Source organism: Homo sapiens, chromosome 13, assembly GCF_000001405.40.
Source record: "Homo sapiens chromosome 13, GRCh38.p14 Primary Assembly".
NCBI lineage: Eukaryota > Metazoa > Chordata > Mammalia > Primates > Hominidae > Homo > Homo sapiens.
Genome location: NC_000013.11, coordinates 77,315,008 through 77,340,689, shown reverse-complemented (window position 1 = coordinate 77,340,689; position 25,682 = coordinate 77,315,008). Strand labels below are relative to the sequence as shown.

At 42.3% G+C, this 25,682-nt stretch overlaps 2 protein-coding genes and 1 long non-coding RNA gene across 3 annotated transcripts in view, besides 6 other annotated features; 2 read left to right on the top strand and 1 right to left on the bottom strand.

Annotated features, from left to right (window-relative positions):
- Positions 1,200-1,389: an enhancer, noted in NCBI's record as "active region_7843". NCBI's record gives its function as "activates an Ori minimal core promoter by ATAC-STARR-seq in GM12878 lymphoblastoid cells {active_cell/tissue: GM12878}" and the evidence as "EXISTENCE:reporter gene assay evidence [ECO:0000049][PMID:35858748]".
- Positions 11,016-11,095: an enhancer, noted in NCBI's record as "active region_7842". NCBI's record gives its function as "activates an Ori minimal core promoter by ATAC-STARR-seq in GM12878 lymphoblastoid cells {active_cell/tissue: GM12878}" and the evidence as "EXISTENCE:reporter gene assay evidence [ECO:0000049][PMID:35858748]".
- LOC107984564 (uncharacterized) lies at positions 12,492-13,645 on the bottom strand. Its single transcript, XR_001749930.2, has 2 exons — positions 13,555-13,645; positions 12,492-13,426 (listed from the first exon to the last, which is right to left on the bottom strand). It is a non-coding gene; the product is annotated as an uncharacterized LOC107984564 (long non-coding RNA).
- Positions 13,117-13,446: an enhancer, noted in NCBI's record as "active region_7841". NCBI's record gives its function as "activates an Ori minimal core promoter by ATAC-STARR-seq in GM12878 lymphoblastoid cells {active_cell/tissue: GM12878}" and the evidence as "EXISTENCE:reporter gene assay evidence [ECO:0000049][PMID:35858748]".
- The window catches only part of MYCBP2 (MYC binding protein 2), a 282,438-nt gene continuing 270,351 nt past the window's right edge, over positions 13,596-25,682 (top strand). The window contains exon 1 of the mRNA NM_015057.5: positions 13,596-14,216. Coding sequence (NP_055872.4) covers positions 13,915-14,216 — 302 coding nt within the window. The 5' untranslated portion in view covers positions 13,596-13,914. The remainder of the gene's footprint in view (positions 14,217-25,682) is intronic.
- Positions 13,637-14,016: a silencer, noted in NCBI's record as "silent region_5419". NCBI's record gives its function as "represses an Ori minimal core promoter by ATAC-STARR-seq in GM12878 lymphoblastoid cells {active_cell/tissue: GM12878}" and the evidence as "EXISTENCE:reporter gene assay evidence [ECO:0000049][PMID:35858748]".
- LOC127898562 (uncharacterized) lies at positions 13,702-13,785 on the top strand. Its single transcript, NM_001414702.1, has one exon. The coding sequence runs from the start codon at positions 13,702-13,704 to the stop codon at positions 13,783-13,785; it is 84 nt and encodes a 27-aa protein (NP_001401631.1).
- Positions 14,057-14,176: a silencer, noted in NCBI's record as "silent region_5418". NCBI's record gives its function as "represses an Ori minimal core promoter by ATAC-STARR-seq in GM12878 lymphoblastoid cells {active_cell/tissue: GM12878}" and the evidence as "EXISTENCE:reporter gene assay evidence [ECO:0000049][PMID:35858748]".
- Positions 15,117-15,296: an enhancer, noted in NCBI's record as "active region_7840". NCBI's record gives its function as "activates an Ori minimal core promoter by ATAC-STARR-seq in GM12878 lymphoblastoid cells {active_cell/tissue: GM12878}" and the evidence as "EXISTENCE:reporter gene assay evidence [ECO:0000049][PMID:35858748]".

Sequence of the window (25,682 nt, the reverse complement as noted above, 5' to 3'; positions counted from 1 at the left end):
AAATTACATTTCATTGCATATGGTACAGCTTTAAAAGATCACAATAGTGTGGAGAATAGGTTGGATTGAGCCCAAAATCAGTGGCAGAGGTATGTGTATAATGTGTATAAGTGGAGGAGTGATCATGTTCTCTAAATATATTTCCTCAAATTCTTATCAGACCAGGAAACAAGTTAGCGAAGATAAAGAGCACTCTTCATCTCCCATCCCAAAATCTCCTCCTTTTCCTGGACTCCTCATCTCGATGAAACCATTATCCATCCAGAATCTGGGGTCCTACTAGGAGTCTCCATTTTCCCCACCCACGTTAGATCAGTCACTTTTTTCCTGTGCATGAAACTTCCCAAAGGGCCCTCTTTTCTCTATACCAACTGTTTTCTTTGAGGCCCTCAATGGGGTCATGTTGAACTACAGCAGTAACTGCCTAATTGGTATCCTTTGTTCATGGTGCCCAGCTACATTCTATCATTGGGAGAACAACAATGATAGAATATTGGTAGCGAAATGTAACAACTTATTTTATTGTTGAGTTAGGAAGGAGAAATCAGGCATCAATAGCCTATATCCCCTTCCTCTTTTCATCCAACGAGGAGGTAGGAGCCTTCGAGGAGCAGGCAATTTCCTCCCTGTTGCATAGGGAGAACTGCCCTGCCTGTACTAAAGTGAGTGGATGGATAAAATTGCTAGCATTTGAGGTTTAGAGGAGAGAGCTTTCTTAGCTTTACATTAAGCTCTATCCTCCCACTTAACCGTTATTGTAATAAAAGTGATATCTGCTTCCATTTGCTACAGATGTTTTAACAACTTTTTCAGAATTTGGGGAAGGACTGTAACAAAATATCAAGTTTATTCTCTCAGTAGCCAAATATAAAGGGAATAATGATCAATTGTCTAGTTTTTCATTAATAAAGGGAGAGAACAGGTTTTCAGGAAAGTAGTGTCTTCGTGAGTACTTAATTCTAAAACAAAATCCTAAGGTGAGAAATTTGGGTCATGACACGATGTCATAAATAATGTCATCATTATTTTAAGCAGGTGAAATGACAGATTATGTCCTTTACTCATTATAATTGTCTAGGTTTCAGTTCCCCCAGGAAACTGGCTCTGAAACAAAAACTTGTATGCAGGAAGGTTACTAGCAAGTATACTCAGGAACACAACCTGTAAAGATGTCAGAGAAGCAGAATTAGATAGAGGGAGAAGTGAACTGAGGATCAATTAAAAACAGAGGTATCAGCCAAACTCACAGGGAGTTCTGGAATTGGCCTGGCCCTTGGAGTTGTCTCCACATTAGGGGGACAGGACTAGGTCTTTGTACCACTGCAATGTTAAGTCACTTGAAGCAAACTGCACCTCAGGGAGGTGACATGACCATAAGCCAGGAAGCAGTCGTCAGCTGAGGACAAGTCTCAGCAAAGGGCTCAGCTGTGAGCTGTCGGCAGCCAACACTTCTGACAGCTGGGAAATAAGGGACTCGCTCCCAAGAGAGCAATCCGGGCAATACACTGCGAAATCCATTACAGTCCATCCCCAGCATTGCTCAGACCCACTTGCTTCTCTAGAGAGTTCATCCTATGTCCAGGACTGTGGGTAGTTGTTTGTTTTTTCCTGTTGAAACCTAAAAGAGGAAGACACATGGTATGAACTGGAGCCCTTGTTGCTGTAGCTGGTTTCAGTGCTACAACTGAAACTCATAATGCCTTTCTTCCACATGCGTCCTAGATTGATTTCTCCTTCAGCTAGAACCCCTGCTAGTCTAGAGAGCCTATGAACAGAATTACCCACACTCTCATCTCAGAAATCTGAGCCGCTGGTCACCATGCCCTTCTCAGACCATGGTGACTGTACTTGTTCATTTAATGTCAAAATTAAGTAAGGAGTATCAAGAGACACAGTCATGGATCACCTAAGTGCTAGACATATTCTTCTCTGTGGCCATATGTAATGGCAGCCCTATCTACTCCTGCTAATAGAGGTCACTTATACCTGCCAGTGTAGGACTCCTTTCTTTATCTGCTGGTCTCTTGGACTGAAGGGCCTGAAGCGACTGAAAGCAACCATAACTTAAAGTCCAATGGGGTTCTTACTAGGTCCTCTGGTGGAAGTGTTACACCTTTTGGAACCGGGAGCCTGAGCAGAACAGAAACCACAAATTCTCTAAGAGGTCACTGAAAGTAGAGCTACTACCACTTCCACTCTGGACTCCTGAACTCATATATTCTATCAGAAACACAGCATCACAGAATAGGTGTTCACTTAAAGTCTACTATGTGTAGCTGTGCCTCAATGAGACCTTCAAAAGACCACAGCACTATTCCATCAACAGCAGGTTCTGGGTGGCATTTTAGGTAATAGGATAAGTGGATCCAATGGACATTTTATCAGTCTCCTATTGCCACTGCGACACATTTACTGGATTAAAACAAACTATCTTGTATTTCTGGTGGTCAGAAGTCCTAAAATCAAGATGTAAATAAGGCTACATTTCCTTCACGGGTTCTAGGGGAGAATTTTTTTCCTGATCTCTTCCAGCTTCTAGAGGCCACCTGCATTTCTTGGCTCCTGGCCCTTCCTCCACCTTTAAAGCCAGCAGCGTAGCACCTTCAGATCTTTCTCTTTCTCTTGCACCTCCACTCCATCACGGCATCTTCTTCTCTGACTCCGCTTCTGTAGTCACATCACTTTCTCTCACTCTCACCCGCCTGCCTCCCTCTTATCAGAACTCTTGTGATTATATGGGCCCACCTGGATAAGCCAGGATAATCTCTCCATCCGAAGATGATGCTTAACTTAATCACATCTGCAGAGACCCTTTTGCCACGTAAAGGTACATATTTACACGTTCTGAGGATTATAACATGGACATCTTGGGACGGGGGGCATTATTCAGCCCACCACAGACATGTATCTACTGTCACACATCAGATACCATAAGGTAAGTGGGCTTCTTGGTCTGAGACAATGCTTTTCAGGATCCCATATCTATGTGAGTCTTCAGATAATGGTGCTGGCCAATGAAAGTCCTGTGGCCAAAGAAGGCAAACCTATATCAGAATAGGTACTAATCTCAGTCAAGTTAAATCACTGACCCTTCCAAGGTGGAACGTAATCAACTATCCAGCCAGTGCCTGGCTGGTCTCCTTGAGGGATCATGCTGTCTTAAGGGCTTAATGTTAGTCTCTTTTGCTGGCAGTTTGTGCATTTGGCAGTAGCAGTAGCTAGATCAGCATTGCTCAGTGACAGTCCTTGCTGCAAGTTCCATGCATAACCTCCGTCCTTGCCACCCTATAGAGCCTCCATCTCTGCACCAGAGCTACTCCATCCATGTGCCTTTTGTGCCACCATCAGGTGGACAAAAACAGAGAGTAACTTCAACTGGTGGAATCGTCCTGTCTATGTGATTGTTCACTGACTCTTCCAGGTGAGATGCGATCTGAGAGGCATCATCATGAGACTGATTCAAAGATATTCATGCTTTGTGCTCACTCCAACAAGTCCACTCACCTACCTCTTTTACAGACCTTCTTCTTCCCAATCTTCTAACTTTCAGTCCCTCAACCAAAGAGCCAAGACATCTGCCACTACCACGAGTATTACATATTCTTACTTCAGACTACTTCTCTTATGTGTAAAATGAATGAGAATGTATACTGCATAAAGTCTGAACCATTGAGAGGATTTTGCCTGATCACTATCTAGTGATCCTGCACTGTCAGGATCACAGTGCAACAGCTGTCCATTTTCAGCCTGCTTCCACTTCCCAAGCCAGCCAACGCATGAAACAAGCTCAACTTTTTCCCTCCCCTACCCAAACAGCCATATATTTGAGCTTAGAGACAGGCACCAGTGCAACAGTGGGGGACAATATAGGCGTCTGGCCTCATCCTCATGCAGCTTACTTGTGCTATGGCCAGCCCATACCCAGTTCTGGGTATATCACCTCCACTTTATCATAGGTAGACATTGGGCCCACTGGACCTTATGAGTTGGTGGTCTGACAAAACGCAGCTCCCAGTGGGTGGTCCTAGCCACTTGACATATCTTGTGATCACCTGACATCTCAAGGGGAGATATTCTGTCTCTCTCAGAGCTCAAATAGTATGCCAAGAGCCATTTTTCAAACAGTGCATAATGTTTTTGCTAAAGATCACATGGTTTTGCTCCAGAGTCCTTAAGCTCTTCTTTGTGATTTTCCCACTGAAACTTCCCATTAATTCCAAAGCATCTTTTCCTGTCACTGACATCTGTAATTTCATAGGTTCTGTAACGTCGTATGGCCCAAGGAGCAGAAGTGCTTTTCACACAGCCTAGAAATGATGCAGAATTTTTTTTCTGTTCTGGGCTTCACTTAAAGCTGTCAGTCATCTGTGTCATTCAAGAAATGCCTCAAAGCAATATTTTCAAGTAAATATTGTGCCTTCAGAAAATAAAGAAAAAAGATAGGAAGAACAAGATGAGATAATTTACCCTTTAACTTGTAGGAGGTATCTGGCATGCCTCAGACATCTATGCACTCAACAAGGGGAATCTAATTCCACTAACTTTATAACTAACACCTTCCTTGAACCTCTCAAAACTTGAGCTACTGCACCTGCAGGCGCATTCACATCCACAGGTCTCCCAGCCTAGCCATCTCCAGTGAAAGTTTCAGCAATTGCACAGCTACACTTACCACATGTCAGGGCTATCAATGCTCCATATTCTATCCATCCATCATCAGTGATAGCCTATTAGTTTTCTATTGCTGCATAACAATATTACCACAAACTTAAAATGACACTGTCTTCTAGTTGCTGTGTATCAGGAGTCTGGGCATGACTTATCACTGTCCTCTGCAAGGCTCTAATCAAGATGTCAGCTGGGGATGCAGTTCATCTGAGGCTCAACTGGAAAGGAACCACATCCAAACTCATATGGTATTTGTCAGAATTCAATTCCTTGCAGGCTGCCAGGCTGAGGACTCAGTTCCTCTTTGGCTGTTGGTCAGAAGCTACCATTAACCCCTTTATCATATGAACCTCTCTGTGTGATGGCTTACAAAATGCCAACTTGCTTCTTCAAAGCCACTAAGGGAGAGATGGTCCCAGCAACATAGTTACAGTAGTATGCAACTCAATTACATAAATATAATCAAGTACATCCTGTCACTTTTGCCATATTCTATTGTTTAGGAGGAATTTGCAGGTCCTACCCACACACAAGAGGAAAAGTTTATACAAAAACAGAGATATTAGGATATAGAGATCATGACGAGGTCACCTTAGAAACTGTCCATTACAGGGGGCCCTCACTGCCACCTAACCAGTGGATAATCCAGCTCCAAAATTCCATTTCAGACTCTGGTTCTTCAGACCACTCCCCTTACAACTGAATTAAGTTGGGCTCCCTGGGAAAGAGATTGGGAAACAGATGTAGACTGGCATACAAGAAGTTTATTGTGGAGTTCTGACAATACTACTAGTGAATGAGTGAGAAAAGCAGGATTGGTTGAGAGAGAAAAATGGAACTGTAATGTAACTGCAACAGAGGCCTTAGCTAATTGCACAGAGTTCTAAGAGCTGGAATGGCTCTTCAAAATCATTCTGAATTAAGGTAAGAGTGCCTTGTCTTTGTATATCACTTTGACCAGTTATTTGATGCAGGCACCCTCTGGAGAGGGGTTGTAACCTGGCATAAGGCAGTTCCCCAAGGCCAAGAGCAACTTATGGGCAGGGGTTTAGCTTTGAGCAGCCAGCAGTCAACACTCTCAACAGCTGGGGAATAAGAGCCTCATACCTGAAGGGGTATCTGGGAGGCACACTATAGTAATCTTTAATAAAATCCAAAGGCATCATATAAAATACAGTTCAGTGAACTTTCTGATGTTTTGACTTGATTAAAGGAAGAAAATTTAGGACCCAGGGGAATGAATGGGTTTTTATGCTTTTAAGTATTTTCCATAAATACATATTTCATTCGGACAGATTACTGATAGATTCTAGATAGGGAATGTGTCCTGAGAAGATGCTAGAGTTGGTATATCAGGTAGAATGCTTTGGCTGCAAGCAACAGAATACTTCATCAACAGTAGCTGAGACAATTAGGAATTTGATTTTTACCTTGTATAAAAATAAGTTTGAAACTTTGTTCAATGGTTCTATGATGTCAGGGTCAATATTTATGATGCTCTTGGCCTTATCTCATGCCTCTTGTCTCATGGCTATGAACATCAGCCATTCTGTCCATCTTTTAGGTAGAAAGAAAGGGAGAGAGAGAGAAGTAGTACTAGCAGATTTTCCCTCACTGTGCTGTCCTGAATTGTGTCACGATGCCAACTCTAGGTGCAGGACAGACTCACAGAGAAAATATTTCACTTTTTCCGGCATCCAGAATGGAGGCAGGCAAGGAAGAAGGGGATTTAGAATGGGTGTGAGTGAGCCAACTAATATTTTCAAAGCAGATTTCTGTTTTGCTGCTTGATGTCAGATCCGCAAGCTTTCAAGACCAGATGAAAGATGATAAAATGCCATCCTTTGGCTGAGAAACCAAATCAGGTTTATTATTTGGATGGAAGACCATCTGTACCATTCAGGGTCCAATCAGGAAAACAGATAAATGCATGCCAGGTCATTAAGAGAGAGAATTGAATATGGGGAACTAATTGCAATGCTACTCTAGGAATAGAAAAGCCAAACAAGGGACAGAGATATCTACAATCCCTAGGGCTGGAGACACCAAGGAGAAAACGCTGCTACCAGGGTCCACAAGCTGGGGCTGCTCAGTGAGAACTGGCTTTACGAGAGGTTACCTAATTGCAGCTGGACCATGGAAGGAGAAGCTGTTCAGCAGGAGCTGGAACCACAGAGGAGATGTTGCCTAAAGTTGGCGGGGGTGGGGTGCCGGGAGAGAGAGAGAGAGAAATTGATTCTCCTGCTGCCTACTTGCCAGTCACCCATTTTGCCCCCAGGCTGAAGCTAATTTGAAACTAGCTGGCAAGGGAAGCCTGACAAATGGAATTTGCAGGGATCCTTCCCCTGCTGTACAGAGCAGAGCAGGAGAATGGACAGGAATGGACTCAAGAGCAAATAAGCAGATTCCTGGCACACCACCCCACCAACACTGAGGTAGACTTTAGAAGTACCTGCAGGGATGCCACAGTTTTTCTCTGCAAGCAGTGTTGTCTTTGCTGCACCACAAAAATTAGTAATTAATTCAGTTCACAACAATTTGGCATCAAATAGGTAAGATTATTTTGTCTATCCAAGAAAATTCTGTCACCACAAGTTAATTTAGGAAGACTGTGAAATATTTTTTATGACTTTTATGTTCTAAAAACTTTTAAAATAGCTTCCGGTCTAGTTTGAAGGCAAACCTGATATGATATCAAAAAAGAGGCAAAATATTCTTAAGAAAAATTTTTTATGAAGAACTGGTAAATTGGCTCCTTTTTACTTTCTAAATATAAATGTAGAAATATTCATCAAAATAGGAAGCCAAACTAGGCAAGGTCAAGATTTTGATGTTAAATTCAGATTAACCTACAGAAAATGTAAATTATAGATGATTTATAGTTTTTGAATCTGGAGAGATACCATAGCTACTAGCCTTTTGAGAAGAAACTATAGTCTGTTTTGGCTGTTACATGTCGAAATGTATCCATCAGTAAAAATTCAAAACACTTATTGAATTTATGAAGGTAGGCAATGTGTTTTGTGAGTTAACAAATTATACAAGAATGGGTATTTTAGGGAAACAACTATTGTCTTTGGATTCTATTCTTCCTGTCATGTCAAGACACAGTAAATCTTTATTTGTGGACAGGACTCTTTGTTAAGAAAACAACAAGAAAACCAACTTTCAAATCCTAATCTATATAACTCAAATTGTATAACTGTTTTGTTACTTCTAGCACAAGATTAGGACATCCCTCAAATAAGGGATCATTAATATATTAACATAATATTGACAATAATAGCTATGGCCTGCTATGTAGTATGTTAAGCAAGTAAGTCATACAGATTATTTAATTTAACCCTCAAATAATCTAATGAAGTAGGTGCTATTATTATTCACTTTACTGATGAGAAGATGTAGCATGAAAGAGGTAAAAGTCTTTGAAAAAAAAGACCATGACTAATATAGTCATTTTAGAGCCATTTAGTTATATCAGGTTATCTGGATTTGGCAATAACCCTATTAAATATATTTAAAAGAAACATTAATATGACATAGTTGCTATTCTACATGAGAATTTCAATTATCCTCTTACTATTTAATTTTAGTAATAAAGATCAATCTAATATCACGCCAGTTAAAAATGGCTTATGGCCAGGCGCGGTGGCTCACGCCTCTAATCCTAGCACTTTGGGAGGCCAAGAGGGGGCGGATCACCTGAGGTCAGAAGTTTGAGACCAGCCTGGCCAACATGGTGAAACCCCGTCTCTACTAAAAATACAAAAATTAGCCAGGTGCGGCAGTGCGTGCCTGTAATCCCAGCTACTTGGCAGGCTGAGGCACAAGAATCGCTTGAACCCGGGAGGCGGAGGTTGCAGTGAGCTGAGATCATGCCACTGCAGTCCAGCCTGGGTGACAGAGTGAGACTGTCTCAAAAAACAAACAAACAACAACAAAGAAAATGGTTTCTATCCAAAAGACAGGCAATAACAAATGTTGGCGAGGATGTGGAGAAAAGGGAACACTTGAACACTGTTGGTGGGAATGTAAATAAGTACAACCACTATTAAGAACAGTTTGGAGGTTCCTCAAAAAACTTAAAATTGAGCTACCATATGACCCAGCAATCCCACTGCTGGGTATATACCCAAAGGAAAGAAAATCAGTATATAGAAGAGATGTCTGCGCTCCTGTTTGTTGCAGCACTGTTTACAATGGCCAAGATTTGGAAGCAAACTTATTGATGTAAGTGTCCATCACCCTATAAAGGGATAAAGAAAACGTGGTACACACATACACAATGGAGTACTATTCAACCATAAAAAGAATGAGATCCAGTCATTTACAATAGCATGGACTGAACTACAGATCATTATGTTAAGTGAAATAAGCCAGACACAGAAAGACAAACATCACATGTTCTCACTCGCTTGTGGGATCTAAAAATCAAAACAATTGAACTTATGGACATAGAGAGTAGGATGGTTACCAGAAGCTGGGAAGAGTCATGAGGAGTTTGGGGAGGGGAGATGGGGATGGTTAATGGGTACAAAAAAAAAAAATCAGAAAGAATGAATAAGACCTACTATTTGATAGCATAATAGGGTGACTATAGTCAATAATAACTTAATTGTGTATTTTAAAATAACTGAAAGAATGTAACTGGATTGTTTGTAACTCAAAAGATAAATGCTTGAGGGGATGGATACCTTATTCTCCATCATGTGCTTATTTCACATTGCATGCCTGTATCAAAATATCTCATGCATCCTATAAATATATACACCTTCTATGTACCCACAAAAAAATTTTAAAGTAATAACAAAATTTAAAAAAGATTAATCTAATAACTTATAAACTATACTAAAGTTTTCAAGGTTGAAATGCTATAGTTTTAAACTTTCTGTTTTTAGGACAATTATACTTTATATAACTTTCTACATCAGTTGTGAAAACATCCTCTAGGCTAAATGCATCACAACAATGAGATTTTGAAAGAATGTGATTTGCATTCAGATATATAGTATTGAATTCACATACTTAAAAAACATATACTAATATATTTTAGGATAATTTTTCACGGATGAAAATGTCAATATATGTCAATATATAACTTAGGATCCCTGGAACCTAAATTTTTGGATGTGGGAAAACTTGGACATATAATTTACATCTTTTAAAACTACCATGAATAAAAAAGAAAAACATTAACTCATCATGCTTACAAGTTACTGAATATCCCAAGGCCCTAAAAATATAGTTGTTTAAAGCATGAGGTTAAGATAGCCAGGGGATGCAATATGTAATTTATGTTTAAAATAATTTCGATAGCCATGTTGAATTTTTCCCTTCAGCTTGGAGTACTAAATATATTCTATGAAATATACTTTATTTTAAAGTGCAATATATTTGTCAAGAATGCACTATCTTATTACCCTTAAAAAGAGAAGGTCACTGAAGAGTAAAGCATGTCTTCACTCTTCAAGCCTAAGCTTTTTCTTTTTTTTTTCCCAAATTGTTCTCAGCTACCAATTTTGTTTTTAAATTCCCCAATACATTGTTGTACAAATCCAGGAAACAAACGCAGACTTTACCACAGCATTTTCAGCAGTCTCGATGTACCTAATAATATACATACTTCCTGTGTTTGTAGTCTTGTAGCTTTAGTACAATATTAACCCTTTAAATGAAACAACACTAATCTGTCCTCTTATATACACGTTATGGTTCCTGCCCTGTTATTTACTACATCAGCACGGGTAGCTTCCTTTAAAAACAAAATCGTTAAAGATGAGAGTAGGAAAAATGTAAATGTGATAAGAGTTCAAAAAACTGTGGTCCAGGTTTGCAATGTTAAGTGGAAAAGAACGACTAAATCTGTGATCACAAGGGGAAAGATGAAGCCATAGTCTTATTACATGGGCACAGGACAGAGAGATCTCTTTTGCGAAATGAGCATACCAACCACAAAGAATAAAACATACTACGCCCGTAATAAAATGGGCACAGGCAGGATTTGCCGTAGTTCAATGCTATTCTTTGAGGGCGAATGTGTCGTGGGTGAACTGCTGTCTAGCCCATTCCGACACCCAAGCCGCCCAGGCGGCCCCCACGCCCCCCGGCTGCAGCCCTCCCTGTACACACAAATGCACACACGCCCAGCCCGGCCGCTGGAGGAACTAAGATGGCAGCGCAGAAAGCACGGGGGCCGAGCTCGGTGGGGTGGGGAAAGAAAAGCAAAGCCCTCTGTGTTTTTTCATTCTGTATAGGTCCCCCTCTTTCCCCAAACACAAGGGCTGCGTAAGGCATTCGGTAGTAGAGCTCGCAGGAGCGGCGGGAGGGGACGCTTGCTTTGCATACTGCCAGAAACCCACGTCTCCGATCTGCAGCGACGGTTCAGGCGACCCTCGCGACTTGTGACCACACTCTCCTTCACGTCCCCTTGACAGTAGAAGTAAGGGTGACTCCAAATGCCTTTTTCTTTCTGGCATGCGCCCCACTCCCCCGCCATCCCAGGGGAGCCTTCCAAGTTGCCCAGCTGCCAAGGCGGTAGCTGTGGCAGTTGCAGGGACCGGGGAGCGCGCCGTGCGGAGGCAGGAAGAGGAGGAGGAGGAGAAAAAACGCTGCACTGGCTATCAATTTTGAGGAGAGCGACCGCTGCCGCTGCCGTGGAAGGAAACGCTGCCAACCGCAACAGAAATGCCACTCTCGGATACCTAAGTGAGCATGTGTGCGACTCTGCGCACGCCTAGTTGCGCAGCTCAATGACATCGGGCTTCTTAGCAAGTTATCCAGTTTCCGGGTTTTGAGTGTACCCATCAGGCTCCGTAGGGGCCTGTCTGGGACTGAACAGCAGTAAAGATTGAAGCGAAATTAATGAATGGTGGGAAGAGCCCGGAGACCAGGGCAGCCACGCGGGTCAATGTCCACTAGAAACTCTAAATGGGCAGTGACTGCACATTCCACCACCTGAGCCTGCGCTGTAAATGTTTTCTGTGCAAGCAACATTCATTCATTCAGCCAACATCTATTTCCCTCCTGTTCAGGGCTAGACCCTGTGCTAGGAGCCTGTGATGGTTGAACAGACACCATTGCTACCCTACGGAAAACCTAGTGTTTTGTTTAGTATGTGCTACCATTTGTGAAAATTCATGTGCCAAGTTGGACATCCTAGATCCTTTAAGTCCTCCCTCAATCTCATGTAGTGGGTATTCTTTTGAGCATTATTCAGAGGAGATAATTTGCCCAAAGCCAGACAAGTATTAAGTAGCAGAGTCAGGATCCAATTCCAGGGCTGTCTGATTTCAGAGCCTTTTAGCTACCCTGCTAGGTCTTGCAATAGTAATGGGCCCTCTCATTGCTTACCTGTCAGGCCTTAGAATTCTTAGAATTTAGCTGCCTCTACACCATTGTCTTGGTTCTCACTCCAGGGTTAGGGGCTGCCTGGTCAACACTGAGGTCTTTAACTGTGCTGAAGCATTAGGATAGAAATTTAGTCTAATAAATACTTACTGGATACCTACTACATGCAAAGTCCTGAAGTGGCTGAAGGAGACACAAAAGCAGCAAGCTCTGAAGGAACTTAGGTAAGGAAACAAGACAAATACAAAAACTTAACAGGGCTAATTACAGTACTAAAATACTATGATTCCACATGTCTTGTCCTTTGTTCCTATGTTTATCCCACTGCTAATTATCTTTAAAAAAACTAAATGAAATCCATCCATTATTTAAAGCTTCAGAAAAAAATGCATTGCTTTCAGCAACCTTCCACCCTAAAACTAGAATTAATTTACTTTCCTATTCCTTGTTGTTTGCACTTCTCAAACACTAAGGAGGATTTTTTAACATTTATTTTATTTTTTTTTAAGAGAAGGCCATCCGAAGAAGAGGCACAGATATAAGAACTAGTACATAGATGAAAGATACAGTACTGGGATGACAGAACTTATAAATTATTTTGTCAGGACTGTAAATTAGGAAACTCTTCAAATTGAGAGTCAAAGGATAAAACGTAGTAGGAATCAAAGTGCATTGGCACGTATATTTCTAGAGCATATACTTAGATGGGGTTCGTAGGTTAGCTTGGAACAAAGGACTGAGCAAATGTTACTTTTTTATAGACAACAACAAGATATGTGATGGATCTGACATTTTCAGACGCTATACAGTCTCCGTCACAATTATTGTTTCAGATCGCATTCAAGAATTATCTTTAAAAATGTAAGTTTGGGCAGAAAAAAATAAACCATTAAATGACCACTGCCAAGAGATAAAAGTGCACTCTTAGGTGAGTGAGGAGTCAATAAAAAAGAGTAATTTAAAAAATATTATTGCTCCGTTGAGAACAAGAATTTGGGAATGACTCTGGCTTGTGAATACTAGCCTATCTGTTATACTTTCACACACAAAATACTTTCACACACAAAAAAGAATGTGCTAGATTACTACCTGTCTTTGTAAGTAAAAGCTGTGTTAAACAAGCGTAAATCCTAATGACAAAAACCATATAAAATAAGATCGCTAAAGGCACTTCTAATTGGGATGGTTTTCTCTGCCTTAAACTCTGAATTAACCAGCACAATTCACAGTAAATCTTCCTGTTGGCAGCAGAGCCTTGGAGAAGAGGTAGCAGAAGAGCGTGCCACTCCTCCTCTGGCGATGGGCACGTTCCCCCTTGCTTTCTGGTCCTCGTTCTTCCACCTGGAGGGAACCTGAAGTCGAACGTCAGTAGCTGACAGCCTCCCCAGCACTTTCCTTACTCTTCTTCAAGCTGCCAGTAAAACCCGGAGAAGTGGACTACTTCAGATTCCGCACAACCCAACAGCCCCAAACCCAAAGCCCCGAGGCGGAGGGAGTGGTGGCGGAGAGGGGGTGGGGAGGAAAAGGGGCGGCAGTTACTGAGCATGTGCGAGGAGTGGCGCATGCTCTGTGAGGCCGGCAGCTTCCCATTGCGGGTAGCCCCGGCGGTGGTGGCGGTGGTAGCGGTGGTGGCGGCGGCAGTGGCGGCACCGCCTCCTCCTCACATTCCCGGGGTGGCGGGGTTAGATGAGCGGCCCCAGTAGCGGCGAGGGCGGCGCGGGGGGGAGGAGGAGAAGAAGGAGGAGGAGAAGGAGGTCGCTGTCTTTGTAGTCTCCCTGCTGCGGGAGCCAGAGGCCGCCGCCGGAGCCGTCGTCGTTGGAAAAGGGCTGTGTGTGCGCGCGCGTGTCTGCCCGCCCGGCCCGCGGGGACGAGGCGGCGGCGGCGGCGGCGGCGGCGAGGATGATGATGTGCGCAGCGACTGCCTCCCCCGCCGCCGCCTCCTCGGGGCTCGGCGGGGACGGATTCTACCCAGCCGCCACCTTCTCTTCCTCCCCGGCGCCGGGGGCGCTGTTCATGCCGGTTCCCGACGGCTCCGTGGCTGCTGCGGGGCTGGGGCTGGGGCTACCCGCCGCGGACTCCCGGGGTCACTACCAGCTGCTGCTGTCAGGCCGGGCCCTGGCCGACCGCTACCGGAGGATTTATACCGCTGCGCTCAATGACAGGGACCAGGGGGGCGGCAGCGCTGGACACCCAGCCTCCAGGTGCGTCCCCAGGGTGCCCTTCCTTGCGCCCCATGCCGCCCTTCCTTGCGCCCCATGCCGCGCGTGCACCCGCGTGTGTGTGTGCTTGCGTGTGTGTACCTGCGCATTTATTGAGCTTTCAGTCCGCTCTGGATGTCTGTTGGCAGGAGCACTTATCGAGATAGGAGGGTGCGGTGGCTGCAGTTTCTCGTGTGTGTGTGTGTGTGTGTGTGTGTGTGTGTGTGTGTGTGTGTCTGCCTGCCTATGTGGGGGGATAGTGAGGGGTGGTAGGGGAACCTGTGATGCTGGAAAAGGCGATGGTGCTGGTCGGCTGTGACACGTGTGTGTATCGTTGAGGTAGGAGGTGGCATGGGTAGAGAGGGTAAGAGGATGATACACGAAGAGAATTGCAACAGTGGCAAGGGAAGTGGCGTTTTCAGTGTCTCTGCCGCAATGTTATTTGCACGTGCCGCCTCTCCCATGACATTCCTTCCAGCCCTTTCCACCTCCCTTCAATCTGCCTTTCACCAAGAGGAGTCATGGTATAGATTGGTTGAGTTTTGGATAAGCAGGCCCGAGGGATAGGCGTGAGGTTTGCTTTAAAAAGATTTATGAATAAGGGACGCAGATGGAGATCTGTGTGGATGCGAAAGGTGTCTGATAGAGATTTTTAGAGCTGTACTTTGATAACCGGGCCTTTTGGTCTTCTAGAAATGAGGTTGCAGTTACTCTTGTGATCTGATGTCCCATCGGCCATTTCTCTTCATCCTCTGTTCGATTTCCTCTGTTACTTACAGGCTTTAGAGTAGAGAGGGTTTTGTAGGGAAAAGGGGAAAACTGCAGAACTTCAGAATATGACAGCTGGTACAGCGTTCAACTGCCACTAGCTAGAAAATCTGAATAGCGCGTAGATTTGTCTCTTTTACTTGGGTTGGCTACACCTTCAGCTTCCTTGATGTAGATGTTCAGTTGGTTTCATTTTCTTTTTCTTAAAATGTGGGTGCTTTTTTTTGCTGAGGGCTCTCCTATTGTTTTCTTTTCCATGCCCTTACATGCCGCATACCCTGAAGGTTGGTGACTGACTTGTTTCACCAGCTTTGACAGTGGTAATTGGGAGTTGGCTTCATCTTTTTTTTCCCACAGCTTCTTGCAGTACATGGGGAAAACATAGTAGGAAACTGTCAAAATGAGTTAAAGAGTTTACTGTTATTTATTGAATGTGCAATTTATTAGGCAATTGTTAGGTGTCTTTTTCTCCCATTATGAAAGGGACGAGGCTGTAAGTCAGGTATTTGTAGCTTATCACTAGGTATCATGGCTTATCTGTTGGAGACAGTTGTAAAGCTGGAGCTTTGTTCACACTTTTTCTAGGTTAACCAGTTTTCTCATGTCTGTGATTGTTTACAGGATTGGGCACAGCAGTAGTTTTACCATATGGATGTAAACGTGTGTAACTATTTTTTGCTATCTGAACTGAAGGCCAGAATGGCACAAGTCTGTTTCTTGCTAATGCTTTTGAAAATAGCACAAAACTACGTGAGACAGTTTGCCCTGATAATTAGGTATAATTTTGATCTGTAAATCTCTAAATTATGGCACCGCAGGAACATCTTTACAAACTCCTCTCAAAGAATTTAAATTTATTTTGTGTATGGTTTCCAGACTTATGCAATAATTTTTGACTTGTATATTCCTGTTTTGACTTCCTACTACTAGTGTAATATGATTTCTGTGTATCTAGAACTATATTAACGGTTTTAGACAAAATTAACATAGATTAATCATATAACATTTGTGAATGATTTTTTAGCCCTTGGTCCATTTTTGTACAAGCCGTCAATGAAAAGTAATGAAGAATTAGTTCAAGTATTTCAAGAACTACTCATGGAAATCAGCATTATGTTATGATATTGCCTGCTAATGCTTGTTCAACGCAACATTATTGTTTATTTAAGTTCACATTATTTTATTACAAAAAGTAGCCTGCAACTACTCTATTGATGATTTGATTAAGAATTAAATCACATTTCTTATTAAAGATGTTGAGGAAAGTAGACTTGGGGTTTCGGCTCTGAATGAATGATAGAATTATTTGTATAGGGACACAAGTTAAAGGAGAAGATGATATCTTTTAGAGAGACTGAATGGAGCAATAATAGAGAATGAAGCTCTAGTGAGCATCAGGTTTAAAGGTGTGAGAGAAAGGAGACAGTGAAGGAAACGGAATCAAAATTAAGAAGAAAATCATGAAACAGTAGCCTCTGTGGCTCTAGGAGAGTGGATTGAAAATTCTCAGAAGTGGTAAATGTTGAAGAAAGTGAGAACCGTTTTCAGGTCATTGATAACTTTTGAGGAAGTGGTCAGAATAGAGGGATGTGGTGAGGAGTGAATGGAATGTGTTTTTGGTAACTCAAGGGGATTTCAAAGTTGAGGGAAGGATATTCAAGTATAGGAGGTTGGGTGGGATATGCAAATATGGGAGGCTAAATGGAGAGACAGAGTGAAGAAGTGAGAGAGGGGATAATTGATAGGAAAAGGTCAAAGGGATCTCAGGGACAGGAAGAGGTCAAAGGGATCTCAGGGATAGAGTTAAGGTGACAGGTGGAGAGGTTAGCCATTGAAAAAAGGAGCAGTTAATATAGAAGGGGTGGAGGTGAGTACTTGTAAATATAAAGACTGGGAGTTTATTGAGGATAGGCATCATATCCTATTCGTTTTGATAATCCCAATGTCTAGCACATTTTTTGGCATGAATTCTGTAAACATCAAGTGCCTGCTCTGTGCCAGGCAGTATTGCAGATGCTGAAGATGTAGCGGTGAGCAAGATAGACAAAGTCTCTGCCGTCTTGGAAAATCCACTCCAATGGGAGAAATAGACAACTCATAATTTCACTTAGTAATAAGTAACTGTGAAGGCAATAAAACCTATTTCATGTGATAGGGCAATTTGTAGTGGGGCTATTTTAGGTAACATGGTCAGGAAATGTCTCTTTGAGAGTTGGCATTTAAATTGAATTGCCATGATGAGGAGGCAGATGTAGAGGAAGAATGTTCTGGGAATTTATAAAGGCCTTGAAATGGGAACAGGCTTGTGTTCAAGAAACAAAAACATGATGAGTGAGTTATCAGTCAATGTCAAATGAATTAATTACTCTTTGCTTTAGGTGTACAGTTGAGAAGTTGAGAGTTTCAAACCTAATGGACTCAGTGACTTTGATGACAGTCTAACAAAGTGGTTAAGAGCTTGGGCACAGAAGCTAGACTGGTTTTGCATCCTGGTTTTGTCATTTGCTAGCTGTGTAACTTTGAGTATATTACATAACTTCTATGCCTCAGTTTTTTAAATATGTAGAATGGGGATCATAATACTAACATGAATTGTTTTGTAGATTAAATGAATCAATGTATGTGCTTGGCATGTTGACTGCTATGAAATATTAGTTACTGTTTTTTGTCTGTTTGTTTTTGCTGAGAATGAGGGGTGTGGGGACTTGAAGAGAAGGCAAGGATCATGTCTTACTCTTTTATTTTTGGTCTCAGTGACTGTGTAGAATGTGGGAATAACTCTTTCATTTATCCAGTGACTGAATAGATATATTTTTGGATGAATGAGGCCAATCAAAATCGGAACATTCTGTTGGGGAAAGGGGTTGGACAGGAAATGTATGAAGGAATGTATGATCTGTTCTGAATGTGAATGGTGGTATAACCATGCACTTGGGAGGCACCATAGCACAGTGGCTAAATGTTAGAGCACTGGAGGTAGACTCCCTTAGTTCACGTCTACCTTTTTCTACTTGTGTTAAATTGGGCAAGTTAATTAGACTTTGTCTGTTTCTTTACTTGTAACTTTGTAGTGTTATCAAAAGGACATTATGTCCGCACCTGGTAAGTGCCCATGAAATGTTACCTGTTGTTATTATTAAAATCACATTTAAAATTCCAACCAGCATGGCACTGTATGTTTTTCCACACAAAATAGAAATGGAGAAAACCTAGTTGAGTTGATTTAGGGTTAAAGAAAAAAGAAATGGAAGGTTTTGGGGACAGTGTTTGACTATATGGTAAAAAGGAAAGTGATGCCAAGAGGGAACTGATAGACTGGAAGATAAAGAGGAGTCAGAGTATCTGGGTCCTGAAGTCCTAGAAGAACAATGTTAGTGAAAACAATAGAGGGGATTGTGACCAAAATGGGGAATCTAAACTTAACCCCCTTAGTTTTTTCAGCTGCTTTATCTCTTTCTTGTTAGAAATGGTATTTGAGTCCATCCTTCAGATGCATGGGATTTTGGTTGTAAGAGGTTAAGTAGTCATTTTAGCAAAAGTTCAGGGATTATTTTATTTTACTTATTTTGAGGCAGGCTGGAGTGCAATGGTGTGAACATAGCTCACTGCAGCCTCAACCTCTTGGGCTCAAGTGATCTTCCTGCCTCAGTCTCCTCCAGTAGCTGGGACTACAGGCATGCACCACCATGCCTGGCTTGTTTTTTATTTTTTGTAGACACAGGGTCTCACCATGTTGTCCAGGCTGGTCTTGAACTCCTGAGCTTAAGTGATCCTCCCACCTCCACCTCCCAAAGTGCTGGGATTATGGGTGTGAGCCACCATGCTCAGCTTGCTCAGGGATTATTACTTGGCACTAACCATTGGCCCTATAAAAATTTATAAGACACAAATTCTAGACTTGAGTTTACTGTCTATCTGGAAGTGCAAGATACAAAGGCAGATACTTATAGAAGTGTTAAATGAAATGACCAAGAAAGTATAACCTACTATGACAAAGGCATGGCATTCTAGGCTGGCTTAAAAGCATCAGCAGAGACAGGAAAGCACAGTTTGTATGTAGGTAACAGTAGGAATTCTGTTAGAGCTAGAATGCAGGTGTCATGAAGGACAGTAGTGGAATTCATTCTGGAAATGGAGGCTTTGGCTAGGATGGGGCATCTTGAAGACCAAGGTAAGAATTAGATTTTATTCAGTAGACACTGATCACCCTTGATGGTTTTAAGCTATGAAGAGACGTTATTTATTGTAGGAATATGTCAGGAAGTAATGCGGGATTGAATCTGTATGTGTACATCTGTATTTGTGCATAGGTAGTAATTTTCTTCATGTAGCTGTTATATCAGTGGAATCCTGTATAGTGTATAAACACAAGTTAAGGCAAAAACTGCTCTATTGGTATACTGGTAGGTAGAAATGTGAAATGAATTAGTTTCCTAACTCAAGAGAAGAAAAAAATCTTGCCTCTGGGCTTAAAAGGAAAATAAAAATGTCAATCTAAAAATACTTTTGTCCTTTAATATATTTGTTTAAAAAATCAACAGAATAGTCTCACTTTTTTCTCAAAAACCAGATTAAACATTTAGGTTTTCTGAGGAGGGGTTAGGTTAATTGAGGTTTAATTTATATACAATAAAATTCATCCTCTTTAAATGTTCATTTGAAGAGTCCTGAAACTATCACCACAGTCAAGTATAGACTGTTTCCATCACTTCATATAAAAAGTTCTGTCAGGCCCTCCTACCCCTGGTTACTGACCGCTGCAAATCAGTTTTCTGTCACTAATATTTTACCTTTTCTAGAATGTCATATAAATCTAGCTCCTTAAGGGCAGGGCCCCCAGGTATTGTTCATCTTTCTGTCTTGTATCTGTATTTCCTGTAAGTGGAAGCTAGACCTTAAGGGTTTATTAGGTGTTCATTAGAAAATTTTTTAGCAAGAATATTGTATATGGCGCTGGGTACTGCATGTTGCATCCCATCCAGAGGTTGTGAGGTTGTCTCACTATTTAATATGTTAAATCTGATTACTTGGGTAAGACGGTACCTACTAGATTTCATCTCTGTAAATGTATGCTTTTTCCATTTGTAAAGAACAAGTAATCACAGGGTAAAAATTTGAGCACATTGTGAATGCCTTTTACCTAATGCTTTTAGCATTCTTTGATAATCCTTGTCTGAGTCAATAATTTCATTAGGGGTTGCAAAATGATGAATTAAAAAATAATTCTGTTATTTCTTCTATGTTTATTAGCTGGTACTCTTCTGCAAAGAAGAGTTGGCCTTCACTGACTGTCAGTGAAATGTAGTTTCTCCTAATCCAGCAGCATAAATGCTTAATTCTCTTCCCTCATTAGCCAAATTGGTGTAATAGTCCAGTGGTGGTGTGGCAGGTGCTGTGGTTAGGCTTTCAGATCCCGCTTTCAGGCACATGTTCCCCTAGCTCTTGGCAATATTGGCAGCTAAAACTGATTGCAGCTGAGTCCCACTCCACGCATTGCCCTGAGCCAAGAGTTGCCTCCCCCAGAGTCATGCCTCCTCTTCAGGGGCAGTTTACATCTAATATCTATACAGTGTAGGGATATAAATGCCTAGCGCTTTTGCTATAAGACAAGCCAACCTTGAAGTCTATCCCAACACCAGAGAGCTCTCCCATGGGTCTGGCTGAGGGCTTCCTGGGACTGCATTGCAGATCAACTCCTTCCTCTGTTCAGTCTTACGTCTTTCACTGCCCCACAGTTGTTGGTTCGGAGGGCACTCCGCAATAAACTTCCGGTGTGCACATCTGCATTTGAGAGTCTGTTTCCTGGGAACCCTCCTACCCAAAGCAGTTGGTGCCAGGAGTGGTCTCAGAAAGTAGACTTTACAGTGAGGTTTTGAAGCTGGATTATTGGCTGGCTGGCTGGCAATGAGAATCGATTCTGGTGCTAGATGGAGCACTAATACTGATAACGCTTGGCATGCACTGTAGCTATGCAACTTAAAACTTTCACTGGTGGTGAGTTGGAATGCTATTCCTGTTGAAGGGAATGCACTGGTGAGTGCACTAGGCTTTTGAGAAGTTCAGAGAAATTAATTATGAGGACAATCATCAGATGGCTTTTGGTAAATAACATTGATAGATTGGAGAAAGATGATGCAAGGTGGAAGATAATTGGGGGCAAAATGTAAAAGGAAATTTATTTAGCATCATGTAAAGAAACACATATACAGTAAGAGGAAAAATCTAAGGCTTCAACCCAAAACTTAATTTTAAGGGTAGCAGAGCACCAAGGTAGGTAGAATTCTCTCTCAGCTATGCTAAGGTCAGTGTTCTGGTTGGGCAGGAATCCTGACCCTTAGGATGGGGCATCTGAGTGCACTTGAAAACCCTGAAACCCCAAATTCCTCTTAACCCTCTGGGCCTGCAGAAGTGGCCTTCTTCTACTAGCTAGAGGGGTTGCTTGCAGACTGTGCTGTCCCTCTTACCCCCAGCTCCTCCTCTCTCGCCTACTGACTATCACCAAACCAACAACTAGGGTTAAGTCACAAGAACACCTAGTTCGGGGTGCTGGATCTGCGAAGGGAGGAAGGGACTGTACACACAAACACACACACACACACGTTCCCAAACTGCACCAAGGCACCCCAAAGCACCACCACAGACACAAAAGAATACCATGGGATATTTCAGAATTTTAAAGGAAACACAGCAATATCTGTCACAAATTACTAGCTTGAGGTAGTTCACGGTTTTGACATTAGCTCATGCCACATTTCTTTTGATGATGTCATATTTTTGCAGGGTTGGATTTTTACTAGTTGTGATACAGATCAAGCACTGTGCAAAAATCAGTGTGGAACAGGAAAGGAGGGTGGCATGTTCAGTCTGATTCCAAGTTTGAGAAGTTGTTCTGTGTCTAACAGGCACACATGTCATATTATCAAGTAATTGAAGTTTTTGTTTGTTTGTTTGTTTTGAGGCAGAGTCTCGCTCTGTCACCCAGGCCAGAGTGCAGTGGTGCGATCTCGGCTCACTGCAACCTCCGCCTGCCAGGTTCAAGTGATTCTTCTGCCTCAGCCTCCTGAGTAGTTGGGATTACAGGCGTGTCCCACCACACTCGGCTGATTTTTGTATTTTTACTAGAGGTGGGGTTTCACCATATTGGTCAGGCTGGTCTCGAACTCCTCACCTCGTGATCCGCCTGCCTCGTTCTCCCAAAGTGCTGGGATTACAGGCGTGAGCCACTGCGCCTGGCCCAGTATTTGTAGTTTTTAAGAAGGAAATAAAAATATTTTTCTTCCAATTTATGTGTTATTTTTTCAAATGTCTACTCATTTGTTAGGACATGAATTCTTGTTATTTGGATCTAACTACTTAATAAACACTACTGTTTGGTATTTCTTTTGGCCTATGAGTGCATGGAAAAATTACCGATGATGGCTGTGCATGGGCCCAATAAAAGGGTTTTCATTCACCAGTGCTGATCTAGCAACTGCTGCTGCTGAATATCCAGCCTGACAGCAGCAGAGATCAATCATCCTTCAAGCAGGCCAACCAGTCCTTATACAGTGGAAAGGACCATGATTCATTTTGATTGGATTTGAGACATATTCTGGGTCTGAATTTGTCTTTCCAGCAGGGTCTCACCCAGGACTACTGTTTGAGGGCTTGCAGGATGTTTGATCCTCTACTACAGGGATCATTTCAGAATAAGGGACCCACTGTTATGTTATGTTATGTTATGTTATGTTATGTTATGTTATGTTATGTTATGTTATGTTATGTTATGTTTTGAGACGGAGTCTTGCTCTGTTGCCCAAGCTGGAGTGCAATGGCGTGATCTCAGCTGACTGCAACCTCCGCCTCCCGGGTTCAAGCAGTTCTCCTACCTCAGCCTCCTGAGTTGCTGGGACTACAGGTGCACATCACCACGCCCAGCTAATTTTTGTGTTTTTAGTAGAGACGGGGTTTCACCATGTGGACCAGGATGGTCTCGAACTCCTGACCTCGTGATCCGGCCACGTCAGCCTCCCAAAGTGCTGGGATTACAGGCGTGAGCCACCGCGCCCGGCCGGGACCCACTTTTATAGAATAGGAGAATCATTTGTCCCATCTTGCACCACACCGTCCAGAAGCTGATGACTTGATAGAGCAGTAAAACAGTCCTTTGATGGCACAGCTGATGATGAGATCCTGCAGCTTGGGCATGATGCCCTGCAAGGGTGAGGCGCCCATTCTCCAGTGTTCCCAGTAGGAAGATCACATGAAATTAGGAGTGGCTCCGCATAGCATCACTCTGTGAATCACCTGGGCAGTTTCTGCTTCCCATCTCCATAGCTCTGATGGCAAGGGGTTAAAAGATCCTGGTTCTCAGAAGAGAAACATTTCCAACAGAGGGCGCTATGAGAATCCTGTTATACTTTAAAGTACAGCTGCCACTAGGATTTGGGGCTCCTTTTCTAAATAAAGAAGTCACCAGGCTGGGCACGATGGCTCACGCCTGTAATCCCAGCACTTTGGGAGGCCGAGATGAGTGGATCACGTGAAGTCAGGAGTTCGAAACCAGCTCAGCCAACATGGTGAGACCCTGTTTGTACTACAAATACAAAACAATTAGCCGGGCATGTTGGCGCGTGCTTGTAATCCCAGCTAATTGGGAGGCTGAGTCAGGAGAACTGCTTGAACCTGGGATGTGGAGGTTGCAGTGAGCCGAGATTGCGCCACTGCACTCCAGCCTGGGCAATAGAGCAAGACTCCATCTCAAAACAAAAAAAAAACAACAAAAAAAGAAGTCACCATTTGGACAGGGTTAATGTCCTTGTTCATGTGGAGGAGGTAGGGCTGTGTTCCACAGTGGAGCATGGAGGTTTGGCACACAGGTGATCTATAAGGTGTCTCTTGGTACTTCCTTGTCCAGTGTTTGTGGTAAATGGACACGAGAAAGGCCCAGTGACCACCCCATGAAGTCAGCCACCTGGACCAACAGAAATACTAGCCATAGATTAAAGGAATCTAGAATGGCTAGTAGAGAAGAGTTGTTGATATCAATTTTACCGTCTGTAGTGGCTGGGGCTGTGGTTTGACCCACTTTCCTTCCTCTGGAAAGTTTCTCCAGGAAATGACACTCACCAGAATTCTGGAGGAACTTTTTCCATGCCTTATTTGAAGCAAGTGAATCCTAATTGTATAATAGGCGAAATATAGTGAATCCTGTATTGTGGAACCCAGAGCCCCTGCCCAGCACTGATGTGCTCAAAATTCCCCCACGACTGCTGGGAACATTGGTTGGCTACAGACTCTTCCCTAGTTCCAATATGGGCATTGCCTTTGGCAATAGGTGATGGCCCTAGGTGATGGATCATTCTTGGGGGCAGCCTGAATGAACTGGTTGATCGGGGCATTTTATGGTTTTTAGTGCTACTGTAACTAGTTTAGTTTTTCCTATTTTTCAGTTGTTTGATATGAATATATAACAATACAGTTGCTTTTGAATGTTAACCTTGTATCTCTGATCTTGTTAAGCTCATTTATTAACTTTAATAGTTTTGTAAATTCCCTGGGATGTTCTGTGTAAATAATCATATTGTCTTTCTTTCTGATCTCTAGATTCTCCTACCCCTCAGCCCCTACTTTATTCCAATTACTTAATTCTCCCTTGTTTTTAATCTGAGAGAAAAACAACTACAAATTAATCTTACAGTTTTTTAAATCATTAAGTATGATATTAGCTGTAGGTGTTTCAATGGCCTCTATCAATTTGAAGATATTCCCTAGTATTCCTACTTTGCTGATAGTTTTTATTTTTTATATTTTAATTTTTTTTTTTTTTTTTTTTGAGACAGAGCCTTGCTCTGTTGCCCAGGCTGGAGTGCAGTGGCATAATCTCGGCTCACTGAAGCCTCTGCCTCCCGGGATCCAGCAAGTCTCCTGCCTCAGCTTCCTGAGTAGCTGGGATTACAGGCACACGCCACTATGCCTGACTAATTTTTGTATTTTTAGTAGAGATGAGATTTCACCACGTTGGCCACTCTGGTCTTGAACTGCTGACCTCAGGTGATCCACCTGCCTCAGACTCTGAAAGTGCTGGGATTACAGGCGTGAGCCATCGCACCCGGCTTGCTGATAGTTTTTAATTATAAATGTGTATTGAGTTTTGTCAAATGCTTTTCCTCTACCTGTTAAAATGATCATATAGTAAGAGAACAAAAGGAAAATTGAATTACATTAATTAATTTTTGAATGTTAAATTAACTTTGCATTCCTGGGATAAAACCATCATATTTGGAATGTATTGCTGAATTTGATTTGCTGGTATTATGCTAAGAATTTTCAGGTTTATATTCATGAGGGATATTGGTCTGTAATCGGTTTTTTTTCTTTTCTTTTCTTGCTAATCCTGTCAGGCTTTAGAATTAGTTATCCTCGTCTCATAAAGTGAGTTACATAGTAATCCTACCCTACCCAGTCCTACCCAATTTTTAAAATGTTTGCGTAAGATTGTTGTTATTTCTTCTTGAATGTTTGACAGAATTCACCAGTGGCACCATCTGGTCCTGGAATTTTATTTTGGGGAAGCTTTTGACAAATTCACGTTCTTTAATAGTTAGAGCGTTATTCAGATTTTCTGTTATTATTCATGTCAATTTTGGTAACTTGTATTTTTTTGGAGAAGTTCATTCATTTCATACTTCTAAGTTGTTGAAGTTTTTAGCATGAAGTTAT